This window comes from Homo sapiens, chromosome 6 (genome assembly GCF_000001405.40).
Source record: "Homo sapiens chromosome 6, GRCh38.p14 Primary Assembly".
Classification (NCBI taxonomy): Eukaryota; Metazoa; Chordata; class Mammalia; order Primates; family Hominidae; genus Homo; species Homo sapiens.
In genome coordinates this window covers 106,324,301-106,339,029 of record NC_000006.12, presented here as the reverse complement: position 1 = coordinate 106,339,029, position 14,729 = coordinate 106,324,301, and the positions used below count along the sequence as shown (strand labels likewise).

At 41.7% G+C, this 14,729-nt stretch overlaps 1 protein-coding gene across 7 annotated transcripts in view, besides 2 other annotated features; it reads left to right on the top strand.

Annotated features, from left to right (window-relative positions):
- Nucleotides 13,071-13,390: an enhancer, noted in NCBI's record as "active region_24885". NCBI's record gives its function as "activates an Ori minimal core promoter by ATAC-STARR-seq in GM12878 lymphoblastoid cells {active_cell/tissue: GM12878}" and the evidence as "EXISTENCE:reporter gene assay evidence [ECO:0000049][PMID:35858748]".
- The window catches only part of ATG5 (autophagy related 5), a 141,285-nt gene continuing 139,825 nt past the window's right edge, over nucleotides 13,270-14,729 (top strand). For 5 of the 7 annotated variants that reach the window (NM_001286111.2, NM_001286107.2, NM_001286108.2 and 2 more), the window contains exon 1: nucleotides 13,270-13,504. The gene's annotated coding sequence lies outside the window, so the exon portion shown is untranslated. Of the gene's footprint in view, nucleotides 13,505-13,592; nucleotides 13,755-14,729 lie in introns of those variants that run through there. The other 2 variants (XM_024446590.2, NM_001286106.2) reach the window with 1 other exon arrangement.
- Nucleotides 13,411-13,460: an enhancer, noted in NCBI's record as "active region_24884". NCBI's record gives its function as "activates an Ori minimal core promoter by ATAC-STARR-seq in GM12878 lymphoblastoid cells {active_cell/tissue: GM12878}" and the evidence as "EXISTENCE:reporter gene assay evidence [ECO:0000049][PMID:35858748]".

Below are 14,729 nucleotides of genomic sequence, written 5' to 3'. Positions count from 1 at the left end.
AAGGCATCAACATACACATTGCTACAAAGAAACCCCAATATGTTAATATATAGTTATCAAAATATTAGGAACACAAAGTTGTGTTATATTGTTTCCTTGTTAATGCAATAAATAATAAGGTCTTACAGTGAGCCTTGTAACTACTGTAATTTCAAAGTAGTGAATAGTAAATATTTCAAGGATCTGAATCAACTGCAATGTGAGTTGAATATATCTGTGATTCTATTGGTGACAAGTTACAAATATTGCCAATACTACTCCAGTTTGTGGCCTGAATTTATAATGGAAGGAAATGCTAAATTTCGAACTGGAGGTTACTGAAAATAAAGATGAAACTATTTTCCCAACCAAATCTTCAAATCCTTGAATTGGAACCATGAACCCCTTGGTTACAGCCCTGGCTTAAAAGCCCTTTCCTTCCTTGTCTACCTGTTATATTCATTTAACTTCTAAGGTTTATCTTACATGTTGCTGCTAGTTATTCTTGAAGCTAGATTCTGATGGCAGTTGTATGTAGTTTAATTACAGCCTGTGAGGGACTGCTGCGGTCCTTTGTTTGCTTGTCAGTTCTCTCCCACACTGGAATGTGAGTTCCCTGAAGGCAGAAATTATTTCTGATGTACCTTAGTATCCTGAGTATTTTGCACAGCCTTGCATCAAAAAGCCAATTGAATTAATGGACACACTGTTCCATGAGAACACTAATCACTTTAAATTGCTGGGTAGGGGTTGGAGTGTGGAGAAAATGATACTTTACTTGTATCTCTCTTTCAGTAATACAGAAACTTCATGTTATAGTCAGTGGATGAAAAGAATGTAAGAAAACTGCCTAGAATAAGGCAGTAAACAAAATAAGGGTGCATAAATGGTGGATAGAAGTGTGTGACAAGTAGAGCATGAAAGAATCCCATTGAAAAAAGAGTAGATTTGGCTGGGTGTGGTGGCTCACACCTGTAATCTCAGCACTTTGGGAGGCTGAGACAGGAGGATGGCTTGAGTCCAGGAGGTTGAAGCTGCAGTAAGCCATAATTACGCCACTGCACTGCAGCCTGGGTGACAGAGTGATACCCTGTCTCAAGAAAAAAAAATAAACATAAAAAAAATGCTGCTCGTCCTTAACATTCAAAGACAGCCTTTAGAAACTTATCTCTGCCAATTCTAACAATTAATATATGTAGGCAAATTATCCCACAGAAAGATCCTCAGCGTAACAGTTGTTGATAAAAGTGTCTATTAAATTTTAATTAGTACGTTTTAAAGTAAAAAGAGAAATCATCTAAATGTCCCACTCTATAATTAAATGTGAATTAGATTTTAGAATATTTTATTTAAAAAACACATTGCACCCTGAAAAGACACGAGGAAACTTAAATGCATAGTACTATGTAAAAGAAACCAATCTGAAAAGGTTATATAATGCCTAATTCCAACTGTATGACATTCTGGAAAAGACAAAACTGTGGAGACAGTAAAATGATAACTGATTGCCAGGAGTTAGGAAAGAGAGAGGTATAAATAGGCAGAGCACAGAAGATTCTTAAGCAATGAAACTCCTCCATATGATACTACAATTGTGGATACATGTCATACATTTGTGAGAACCTATGCAACATACAACACCAAGTGTGAACCATAATGTAAGCTGTGGACTTCAGGTGATAATTTTGTGTAAACGCAGTTTCATTGATTGTAGTAAATGTACCATTCTGGTGCAGAATGTCAATTGTGGGGGTGGTTGTGTGCGTGTGGGTGGGGGGATATAGAGGATATATGGGAACTCTCTCTACTTTTTGTTCTATTTTGCTGTGGACCTAAAACTGCCTTAAAAAAATGAAGTTTATTAATAAAAAAAAAAACATGTTGCCCCCTCTTTCAAGTTTATTGTGTAAAAACTTAAAAGTGTGAATCATATTTTTGTAAAGAATCTATGGAGCGATGGGTTTTGATACATACAACATATAGCCTATATATAATATAGTAACCATTTAAAAACTATGAAAAGAAATGCTTTTTTAAAAGTGCCATTTTAGTCAAGACTTTTGCTCCTTCTGAGCTTTTATGACACTTTTTCCCTTGACCACTCCTGCCTTGTGCTTTGCTACATCTCTTGTATAATGCTCTGTTTCCCAGTTTAGGTTGTAAGCAATTCCAAGGCAGATCTGTGACTTAGATCCCTGTATATTTCCCCCCAGCCCTGGGGAAAGGACATTTCTAGCAGAATGAACATGGTAAGCAAAGGCACAGGGATGTGAGGACCGAGCTCAGAGAGAGACCAGGGAGCCAGACAGCTGACGAGAGAGGAGCTGGAAAAGTGGATTCGGGTTAGATTTGGATTTTGTTCTGTAGGCAGTGAAGATTTAGTTTTTATAAAAATAGGGCAGGGGCATAATCAGAACTGTGCTAAAGAAGATTACTCTGGCAGCAGGTTGTAAAATGGATTGGCACAGGGGAGGAGAGGCATACAGTCTAGTGAAGGACATAAAAACAGCAGCTCCTATTTATTGAGAGCTTACTATGTGCCAAGCACTGCGATAAACGTTTTATGTGCATCATTTCACTTAATCCTCACAAGTCCACGAGGCAGGTGCTATCATTTTCCTTATTTTAGCTTGAGGAAAATGGAAAAGTGGAGGCTTGGAAAAGTTACATAAGAGCTAAGTTCTTGTGCATGCGACCTGTTCAGTTGCACAAGGCCTGGCACCGGCTTTCATGCTCTGCTGTCTCCATCTTGAGATTCTTAATTTTTAAACAAAGGGCCCTCGTTTTCATTTTGCCCTGGGCATCAGAAATTATGTAGCCAGTCCTGGTTAACTCATTTGTCTGTGGCCATATAGGTAATAGATGTCAGAGCAAGAATTTAAGAGTTCATATCTCAACCACTCTGCTCTGCTGCACAAGCCGATGATCCAAATCAAACCAATGAGAGAATGTGAGGGAAAGGGGATGGATTTGAAAGAGAATATGAGGCTGGGCGCGATGGCTCACGCCTGTAATCCCAGCACTTTGGGAGGCCGAGGAGGGCGGATCACGAGGTCAGGAGTTTGAGACCATCCTGGCTAACACAGTGAAACCCCGTCTCTACTAAAAATACAAAAAAAAATTAGCCGGGCGTGGTGATGGGCGCCTGTAGTCCCAGCTACTTGGGAGGCTGAGGCAGGAGAATGGCATGAACCTGGGAGGTGGAGCTTGCAGTGAGCCAAGATCGCGCCACTGCACTCCAGCCTGGGCAACAGAGTGAGACTCTGTCTCAAAAAAAAAAAAAAAAAAAAAAAGAGAATGTGAGTTAATATTCACAAGGTTTAGAAGCCTTTTTTTTTTGGAAATTAAAATAATTTTGTTGTGAGAACGTTTTTAGGATTTCACAAGATCTTTTACAATAACCAGATGTTTCCTACTGGGAAACACTATCTTTACATCTTTTTTTTTTTTTTTTTTTTTTTTTTTTTTTTTTTTTTTTTTTTTTTTTTTTTAGCAGAGTCTAGCTCTGTTGCCCAGGCTGGAGTCCAGTGATGCGATCTCAGCTTACTGCAACCTCTGCCTCCAGGGTTCAAGCAATTCTCCTACCTCAGCCTCCTGAGTAGCTGGGATTACAGGCACACACCACAATGCCCAGCTAATTTGTTTATTTGTAGAGACAGGGTTTTGCCATGTTGGCCAGGCTGCTCTCAAACTCCTGACCTCATGTGATCCACCTGCCTGGGCCTCCCAAAGTGCTGGAATTACATGCGTGAGCCACCGCACCTGGCCTATCTTTACCTCATTGAGGGTGCTGTTGGCTGGCCTTGCTGGCTGGGGAGCTCTGAGCTTTACCTCTGGTAGACAGTGACACCTGTTGACAACAACGCATTATTGCAAGAATCTATTTTACTATTTTAGAAATCAGGCTATTTTTATTTTTACTTTTTTTTTTTAAAGACTTGTCCTTCAGTTTTACACTTCCCAGATTATTTTTCTTTCTGATGTTCATTGAAAAAAACAGACTGAAAAACTGCCTGGCTGATTCATCCTAGACTTTATTAAGAGTTTTTTTTGTTTTTTTTTTTAAGAGACAGTGTCCCACTCTGTTGCCCAGGGTGGAGTGCAGTGGTGCAATCATAGCTCACTGTAGCCACAGACTCCTGGGCTCAAGGAATCTTCCCACTTCGGCCTCCTGAGTATCTAGGATTACAGGCAGGCACCATCATGCCCAGCTAATTTTAAAAATGTTTTGTAGTGATGGGATCTCATTGTGTTGACAAGGCTGGTATCAAACTCCTGATCTCAAGCAATTCTTCTGCCTTGGCCTTTCAAAGTACTGGGACTACAAGCGTGAGCCACCATACTGAGCCTGGAGCTTTTTACAGAAAAAAATTCATATGGAAACAGTAAAAAAATCTGATACAAAGATTTTTTTAAGACAATATTAATTTATAGGATGAAAAATTAGAACACAAATCCATAATAGTTATGAGTGTAGGCCAGGCACGGTGGCTCACGCCTGTAATCGTAGTCCTTTGGGAGGCCAAGGCGGGCGGATCACCAGGTCAGGAGATCGAGACCATCCTGGCTAGCATGGTGAAACCCCGTCTCTACTAAAAATACAAAAAATTAGCTGGGTATGGTGGCGGGCGCATGTAGTCCCAGCTACTCCGGAGGCTGAGGCAGAAGAATGGCATGAACCCGGAAGGCGGAGCTTGCAGTGAGCCGAGATCGCGCCACTGCACTCCAGCCTGGGCGACAGAGCGAGACTCCGTCTCAAAAAAAAAAAAAAAAAATAGTTTTGAGTGTATACGTATCTCTAAATAATATTTGGCATATTTCTTTAATTTAACCCTGTGGAATCCATCTGTGTAGACAGGTAGAGAAGATTCAGTAACTGGAGTTATACATATAGTGTCTTATAACACGCTATTTTTCAATGGAACCCTACATTTTATCTGTAACGGTGATAGAATTGCATACGGTGTTGTAGAGTTCACACGGTAGTCACAGAAAAGCTGCTCCAAATTGTGATTTTTAAAATATATACCGGCGTACCTTCAAGATATTGAGGGTTTGGTTTCAGACCATTGCAATAAAATAAAGAGTGCTAAAAAGTAACACAATTCTTTTGGTTTTCCAATGCGTATAAAAATTAATGTTTATATTATAGGTACTATAAGGTAGTCTATTTAGAGTGCAATAGTATTGTCTAAAAAACAAATGTATATACCTTAATTTAAAAATGGTTTAGCCAGGGATGGTGGCTCACACCTGTAATCCCAACACTTTGGGAGTCTGAGGTGGGAGGATTGCTTGAATCCAGGAGTTCAAGACCAGCCTGAGCCACATAGCAAGACCCCATATCTACAAAAAAATTAAAAGTTAGCCAAGCATAGTGGCATGTCCTTGTGGTCCCAGCTACTTGGAAGGCTAAGGCAGGAGGATCGCTTGAGCCTGGGAGATCAAGGCTACAGTGAGCCATGATTATGCCACTGCACTCCAGCCTAGGCGACAGAGTGAGACCCTGTCTCAAAAAATATATATACTTTATTGCTAAAAATTGCTAACCATCATCTGAGCCTTCAGTAAGTGGTAATCTTTTTGCTGTTAGAGGGTCTTGCCTCAATGCTGATGGTTGCTGACTGATCTGGGTGGTGATTGCTGAAAGTTGGGGTGGCTGCAACAATTTCTTAAAATAAGACAATGAAGATTACCACAGTAATTGGCTCTTCATAAAAGATTTCTCTGTAGCATGTGATGCTGTTTGATAGCATTTTACTCACACTAGAACTTCTTTCAAAATTAGGGTCAATCCTTTCAAACTCTGTTGCTGCTTTATCAGCTAAGTTTATGGAATATTCTACATCCTTGGTTGTCATTTCAACGGTGTTCACAGTATCTTCACCAGGAGTAGATTCTATCTCAAGAAACCATTTTCTTTGTTCACCCATAAGATGTAGCTCCTCATCTGTTAAAATTTTACAATGAGATTGCAGTAATTCAGTCACATCTTCAGGCTCACTTCTAGTTACAGTTATTGCTATTTCTACCACATCTGCAGTGACTTCCTCCACTGAAGTCTTGAACCTCTCAAAGTCATACTTGATTATTGGAATCAATTTCTGCCAAACTCCTGTTAAGGTTGGCAACATTTTGACTTCCTCCTATGAATCACAAATGTTCATTTTTTTTTTTTTTTTGAGACAGGGTCTCACTCTGTCACCCAGGCTGCTGGAGTGCAGAGCACAGCTCACTACAGCCTCAACCACCCAGGCGTAAGTGATCCTCCCATCTTAGCCTCCCAAGTAGCTGGGACTACAGGCGCATGCCACCACACCTGGCTAACTTTTTTATTACTTATGGAGATAGTGTCTCATCATGTTGCCCAGGCTGGTCTCGAACTCCTGGGCTCAAGTGATACTCCTGCCTCAGCCTCCCAAATGCTGGGATTACAGGAGTGAGCCACTGCACCTGGCCCACAAATGTTCTTAATGGAATCTAGAATAACGAATCCTTTCCGGAATATTTTCAATTTATTTTGCCAGATCCATCAGAGGAATCACTATCTATGGCAGCTAATGCCTTAGAAAATGTATTTCTTAAACAATAAGACTTGAAAGTCAAAATTACTCCTTGATCCATAGGCTGAAGAATGAATGTTTTATTAGCAGGCATGAAAACAACATTAATCTCCTTGTACATTTCCATCAGAGCTCTTGGGTGACCAAGTACACTATCAATGAGCAATAATATTTTGAAGGACTCTTTTTTCCTGAGCAGTAGGTCTCAATAGTGGGGTTAAAATATTCAGTAAACCGTGCTATAAACAGGTGTGCTGTCATCCAGGATTTGTGTTCCATTTCTAGAGCATAAGCAGAATAGATTTAGCATAATTTGTAAGGGCCCTAGGATTTTCAGAATGGCAAATAAACATTGGCTTCAACTTAAAGTCACCAGCAGCATTAGCCTCTAACAAGAGCATCAGCCTGTTCTTTGAAGCCAGGCATTGACTTCTCCTCTCTAGCTATGGACATCCTAGATGGCATCCTCTTCTAATAGACGGCTGTTTTGTCTATATTGAAAATCTGTTGTTTAGTGTAGCCACCTTCATCAATGATTTTAGCTAGGTCTCCTGGGTAACTTGCTGCAGCTTCTACATTAGCACTTGCTGCATTACCTTGCACTTTCATGTTATGGAGATGGCTTCTTTCCTTAAACCTCATGAACCAACCTTTGCTAGCTTCCAGTGTTTCTTCTGCAGCTTCCACACCTCTCTCAGCTTTCACAGAATTGAAGAGAGTTAGGGCCTTGCTCTGGGTTAGGCTTTGGCTTAAGGGGATATCATGGCTGGCTCAATCTTCTATCCAGACCATTCAAACTTTCTCCATATTAGCAATAAGGCTGTTTTGCTTTCTTATCATTTGTGAGTTCACTGAGGTAGCACTTTTAATTTCCATCAAGAGCTTTTCTTTCACATTCATAACTTGGCTGTTTAGTCCAAGAGACCTGCTTTCGGCCTGTCCTGGCTTTTGATTTGCTTTCCTCACTAAGTTTAGTCATTACTAGCTTTTGACTTAAAGTGAGAGACGTGCATTTTTTTCTTTTTACCTGAACACTTAGAGGCCATTATAGGGTTATTAATTGGCCTAATTTCAATATTGTAGTGTCTCAGGGAATAGGGAGGCTAGAGGAGAGGGAAAGAGACGGGGAAGGGCCAGTGGGCTGAGCAGTCAGAACACACGTGTTTATCAGTTAAGTTCACCATCTTATATGGATGTGGTTCATACTGCCCCAAAACAATTACTGTAGTAACATCAAAGACCACTGATCACAGATCACCATAACAGATATAATAATAATGAAAATGTTTGAAATATTGGGAGAATTGCCAAAATGTGACAGAGACATGAAGTAAGCACATGCTGTTGGAAAAATGGCGCCAAAAGACTTGCCTGATGCAGGGTTGCCATAAACCTTCAATTTGTAAAAAACAGACTCTGCGAAGAGCAATAAGGTGAAGCACTATATAACGAGCTATGCCTCTGTTATGCTTCAGTGGTGGTCAGGCAGCAACACATTAGAAAGACCACACTTCGGAAGCAGCTGAAGTGTATTTAAATTTATTTATTTATTTATTTTTGAGACGGAGTCTCACTCTGTTGCCCAGGTTGGAGTGCAGTGGCACGATCTCGGCTCACTGCAACCTCCACCTCCCAGGTTCAAGTGATTCTCGTGCTTCAGTCTCCCAAGTAGCTGGGACTATAGGCGTGTACCACCACACCCCGCTAATTTTTTTGTATTTTTAGTACAGACGGGGTTTCACCATGCTGACCAGGCTGGTCTGAAACTCCTAACCTCAAGTGATCTGCCCACCTTGGCTTCCCAAGATGCTGGGATTACAGACATGAACCACCGTGCCCAGCCCAAATCCCATATATTTTAGATTTTGCTAATTGCATACATGAGATCCCATTTTTAACATTTATCATACTTTTGGGGAAGCCAAAAATAAAAACCCATCTCTGGTGTTCACTATGCTAATTAGCAAACCAAGCGATGTGGATCAAGATGGTGATACTAGGCGTCCTTGTGATATGTGCTCCTGAAGTGTGGTCTTTTTAATGTGTTGCTGCCTGACCATCATGGAAGCCTAGAATTCTCAGTTTGTGTGAGTAGAATCGAAGCTTATGTACTACTACCACATTCATAATATTACATTTTGTATGCTGAAGTAGGTTAATGTATGTTACAGCAATCATACAGGTTCTCCAGTTCCAGCAGGTGGAACTCCAGTTTGTAGCCTTTTTGTATAGGAATTCATGCCAGCTTTGTAGGAGTCTCCATTCTAGCAGGGGAGAGGTATCATTTGAGTAAGGATAAACGGATAGAGGAACAGAAGTGTGGTTGTGTTCTGGGAATGCACTGCAGAGTGTGCAGCCAAATGGAAGAAGTGATGCCTTTCCCCGTACAGATCCTAAAACTGACACTGAGACAGGATACGGTGATGGCGGAAAACTTTAACTGCTAGTGACTGCTGGAGACCCACTCTGCTAATGGCAGTGCATCTCAATTACTTTCAACGTGACTTGCTGATTTTCTCCCTCAGACATCGATGAAGTAACAAAGAAAACGACCACTTTCTACCTAAACTCTAAGCTATATGGAACAATTTAGATTATGAGGTGAAACTGATGGGAATCCTAGAAGAGAGCGCATGTTCAGCTTAGGTTACTTTGACAAACATTTAATAAATGCCAGGCATTATGCTGGGCATTGGTGATCAAAAAATTACCGAGGAAAGTATGAGGACCAACAAATCCAAATTGGGTGGGTCAGGAAATACTTTCCAAAACATGAATTGAGTCTTAAAAATGAGTGATGTGTGCCAAGTGAAGAAGAAAGAATGTGGTGATGGTGCTGGTGGGGGTAGTGTTCCGGGCAGCAGGGACAACAGCAACAAAGTCATAGAAGCATGGCATAGCCTTAGGGCTCAGAAGTCTTACAAAATATTGGATACTGTTGGATTTTTTGAAGCGCAAGGCAGGGAGAGCAGGGGAAGGAAGCTAGAAGGAAAGAAGAAATTAGCCATAAAAGACCTTGTTTACCATGCTAAGAAATTTGGAATTTGCCTAGAAGGAATCAATAAAAGGTGTTAAACAGAAGAGTGACATTGTTAGAATGCATTTTAGATAACATACACTGGTTGGATGCTGGGACAGGTAGAGCAGGACTGGAGGCAGGGAGATGGGGGGAAGCTATCCTAATAGTTCAGAAGTGATGAAGGTTAAAGGAAGCATTTTAATAGGATGGGAGAACATTTGAGCATATGTATAGGATGAAGGAAGAAACTAGTAGTAAGGGAAATCTGGGAGATGGGATAATTAGTTGGAGCAGTCAGAAGTGTTAGAGCTGAAGTATTAATAGAAGAATTAAATTAGGCTTAAATCATTCCTCTGAAACCAACAGGACAGAGATAAAAGAGAGCAGAATGGGACCTTGGGTCAGGAAGTAATAGCATGATAACAAGTGATGGTTAGGGTTCATGGAGGCAGTCAAGATAACTTACATTTTAGGAAAGTAGATTTAAATAAGTTTAGAATAAAGTTACGATCCCACAGTTTTGAGTCTTGCACTTTGTGAGGTGTGCAAAAATAAAAGCCAGACTTTACAACTACAAACTATTATAGTGAAAAGAAAAGAGAGCAATTTATTAACAAAGACTTCTTTGGAGTCTCTCCTTAGAAACCAGAATTTGGGAGGAGTTGTGTACTTGACTTTTGTTGAAAAGAGGACTTTATAAACAAGTTCGCACGAGTCAAAGGCTGCCTGAGAGTGCCGAGACCAGCTCGGTCGGGCAGACCCTAACCCAGCGGCGCTAGAGGAATTAAAGACACACACACAGAAATGAGCTGAGAGCCCCGAACAGAGATTTACCCACGTATTTATTAACAGCAAGCCAGTCATTAGCATTGTTTCTATAGCTATTAAATTAACTAAAAGTATCCCTTACGGGAAATGAAGGGATGGGCCGAATTAAAGGAATAGGTTGGGCTAGTTAACTGCATCAGGAGCATGTCCTTAAGGCACAAATCTCTCATGCTATTGTTTGTGGCTTAAGAATGCCTTTAAGCAGTTTTCCGCCCTGGGCGGGCCAGGTGTTCCTTGCCCTCATTCCGGTAAGCCCACAACCTTCCAGCGTGGGCTTTATGGCCATCGTGAACACGTCACAGTGCTGCAGAGATTTAGTTGATGGCCAGTTTTGGGGCCAGTTTATGGCCAGATTTTGGGGGTCTTGTTCCCAACAGAGAGTCACCCCCAATAAGCTAAAACTTGGAGGAAATGGTAAGGCCAACAAAAAGAGCTCTTTAAAAGTTATCTTCATAGAAAAAAAATTAAAAATTTGCAGTGCCACTGATTTGGAGAAAAGGCATAATGTTCACAAATGGAAATGACAGAGACGAAACATACAATTCCCTTTATTTCCAAATTTTTGCTCAAGGAGCATGATCATCATATAGAAACAAGTGTAACAACTATTTAATAGGAATGCTGATAACTGGACCATATCCAGAGGAGAGATATGGCATGTGAAGAATGGCTGAAAGAAATGACAATGTTTATCCCTGAGTGCATTACGGGGCACAAGAGCTACCTTTTCATATTGAAATGCTGTCTTTTAGAAGAAGAGTTAGTTATTTCTGTTGTATGTTGTAGATGGGTGAGGAAGAGAGAAGGACAAGGGGAGAAAGAAAGAAAATGGTCAATTTATAAAAATTACAGGAAGTTGAATTTTAAGTCAAATCAAGTAATCACCTTTCACCTATTGGGTTTCTTCATACATAGTTTCCCCCAAAACAATTTTTTTTTTTTTTTGAGACAGGGTCTCTCTCTGTTACCTAGACTGCAGTGATACAATCATAGCTCACTGCAACCTTGACCTCCTGGGCTCATGTAATCCTCCTTCCTCAACCACTGGAGTAGCTGGGACTGTAGGCGCATGCCACCATGCCCTCCTAATTTTTGTGTTTTTTGTAGAGATGTGGTCTTGCCATGTTGTGCAGGCTGGTCTTGAACTCCTGGGCTCAAGCTATCCTCTTACCTGGGCCTCCCAAAGTGCTGGGATTACAGGCATGAGCCACTGTGCCTGGTCCCAACATTTTGTTAGGAAATAATTTTGAACACACAGCAAAGCTGAACAAATTTTACAGTGAATACCCATTTACAATGAACCTAGATTCTACCATCTAGATTCTACCATTATATTTTACCATTATATTCTACCATTATATTTTACTATATTTGGTTAATCACATATTTATCCATCTATGCGCCCCTAAATCCATCTTATTTTTTAGATACATTTTAAAGGAAATTTTATATACTTTTGTCTGACACTGGGAAGGCAATGCACCTTAATCCCACAAGCTTTCTTACAGAGGCTAATAGCTGTTTACTGGGGACACTGTAGTGAGGATTTCTGCATTGAGTAGGTGAAGAGGACCATAACTGTGGCTTTCAAACTTTTCTGACTGCTACCCTTACTAAGAAATGTATTTCACATTCCTATCCAGTGTACACCACATACATACTGAAGTAAAAATTTTGGGACACAATATTTACCCTTTACATGTGTGAAGCATGCTGATATTTTCTATTTTATTTCATTTAAAAAGATGCTGGGCATGCTTCCCTAACTTGATTTAGATACCCACTAATGTACTGTAATTTACCATTTGAAAATCATTGTACTTAGTCCAACTCCAAGAAGATTTTTCTTTTTAAAAGAATCCTGTGGCTACTACTAGAATTTTCCTTATGTTCCCAATTATCAAGAACCTGTTTTGAGTCTCAGCACAGTACTTACTTAACATGCATGGCGTTAAGGCACGTGTAATTAAGAGAAAAACCTTAAATGCCTGCTAAGACTTCTGGATAGAGCCAATTCAAAGATTCTTTATTAGTAAGTTTACCAATTATTACTATTTTTTTTTTGAGACGGAGTCTCGCTCTTTCGCCCAGGCGGGACTGCGGTGGCCCTATCTTGGCTCACTGCAAGCTCCACCTCCCGGGTTCACGCCATTCTCCTGCCTCAGACTCTCCAGTAGCTGGGACTACAGAAGCCCGCCACCGCGCCCGGCTAATTTTTTTTGTATTTTTAGTAGAGACGGGGTTTCACCGTGTTAGCCATGATGGTCTCGATCTCCTGACCTCGTGATCCGCCCGCCTCGGCCTCCCAAGGTGCTGGGATTACAGGCGTGAGCCACCGCGCCCGGCCCCAATTATTTTTACAAAGAGTAAGATAAAGATATGTACTCTTGGATGGGTGGGAGGGTTCAGTGCTCATATAGTCTTCTGTTAAATTAGGTTATTAATGCCTGCGGTGGTTCCAACAAAGTAGAGAAGAAGATCAAATAAGAAAATGGATGGGAAAGTACTTTGAAAACTAATGTTTTATTAATACTGTTGTGTGATGCCAGGAAGAAAGGGATGTTGCGATCAAGCTCTAGGGAGGCAGTGTTTCAGTATTTTAAAAACTGTTTTTGTGGAACTGTTAAGTTAACCTCCCCAAGCCCCAATAACTACGCTTTGACGCAAGATTCTCAGAAGAGGGTAGAAGCTATGAACTTGGAGAGGTTTGGTCGCGAGTTCAAGCGTACTGCCCCGTTGGCGCATGCTCAAGAGCGACTCGGGCCTCCTTGCTGGGTTAGGCAGAACACGGAGGGCGGAGTTCGGACCACGTGGGGTCTCGTGACGTCATCTCCGGGCGCCGAGGGTGACTGGACTTGTGGTGCGCTGCCAGGGCTCCGCAGCGTTGCCGGTTGTATTCGCTGGATACCAGAGGGCGGAAGTGCAGCAGGGTTCAGCTCCGACCTCCGCGCCGGTGCTTTTTGCGGCTGCGCGGGCTTCCTGGAGTCCTGCTACCGCGTCCCCGCAGGACAGTGTGTCAGGCGGGCAGCTTGCCCCGCCGCCCCACCGGAGCGCGGAATCTGGGCGTCCCCACCAGTGCGGGGAGCCGGAAGGAGGAGCCATAGCTTGGAGTAGGGTACGTGTGTGTGTCCACCTTGTGTGAGGAAATTCCTAGAGGAGGAGGGCTGGGGAGGGGCCAGGTAGGTGTGGTAGGAAGGAGGGGTGAGTAGTTGCCTGGAGGAGCGCCCGCCCGGCCGCGATGGCGGGTGAAGGTGGTTCCTCCGGGCAAGGTGGAGTTGGCGAGACGCCGGCCCGGAGCCCTGGGGCCGGTTGGCGGGTGTGGCCTGCGGGGTCCCTCTTGGGGTACATGTCTGTTGCTTACTAAGGTAGGAAAGCGAGAGTCTAGTCGCAGGCTCTAGAGTTCAGTTCAGGACCTGAATTGTTTGTGGAACACAGTTATTTAAACCTTTATTGCACAGTGCAGTGTGAGTCTGTCCAAACTCGGTGGGTATGTCCTCCAAGCAATTTATCTATTTACGATATTCCCTGTCTCAATAACAATATTTAGTGCTACCAAAGACATTTTCTGTTGGCAAGACACTTTTACATACTTCATTTGTACTTTGGATTATTTTAAAATTATCCTGAACTTGAGGAACCTAGGAAACTATTGGTTCTAGATTTTTCTGAGGGGTGAGGAGGTACAGCCTGTCTTGAGCAATCAGAACCCGGAGACTTACCAGACAGTAGCTGAACTTCCAAAGCCTTCCAGAATTGGCTTGTTAAATTTCTGAGACCTTGAAACTGGATACTTGGCTCTGAACTGAACTATTTGTGATTTCCATAGAGGGAGTTTCTGGTTGAATTTTGAATTTGAAAATAACGATGTTGTGCTCAGGGTAGTAATTGAGAGGTATTTTACACCAGATTTAAGCCTGTGCTTTTATCTTCAAAGATATGCTACTTAAAATTGGGGGAAAGTGTACAGAATGGAACTGTATGGATATGGATTTTTAGAATAGTGCACACACCTCAAGTGTGTATTTATTTCATTAATTTCCCCCAAACTGAGTACCTCCTATGTGTTAGGCACTGGACAAAACAGTAAACAAAATAGTAAACAAAAGAATAAAAATCCCTGCCATCATGAAGTTCCACTTTGGGGATGGGGTGAGAAGACATTGATACAAAAATTAAGGTACAGTCTTTCCTGTCCCTCGGCATCTGTGGGAGATTGGTTCCAGGACCTCCCTTGGATACCAAAGTCCTCAAATGCTCAAGTCCCTGATATAAAATGGTGTAGTGTTTGCAGATAACCTATGCACATCCTCCTATCTTTAGTTCAACTCTGCATTATTTAT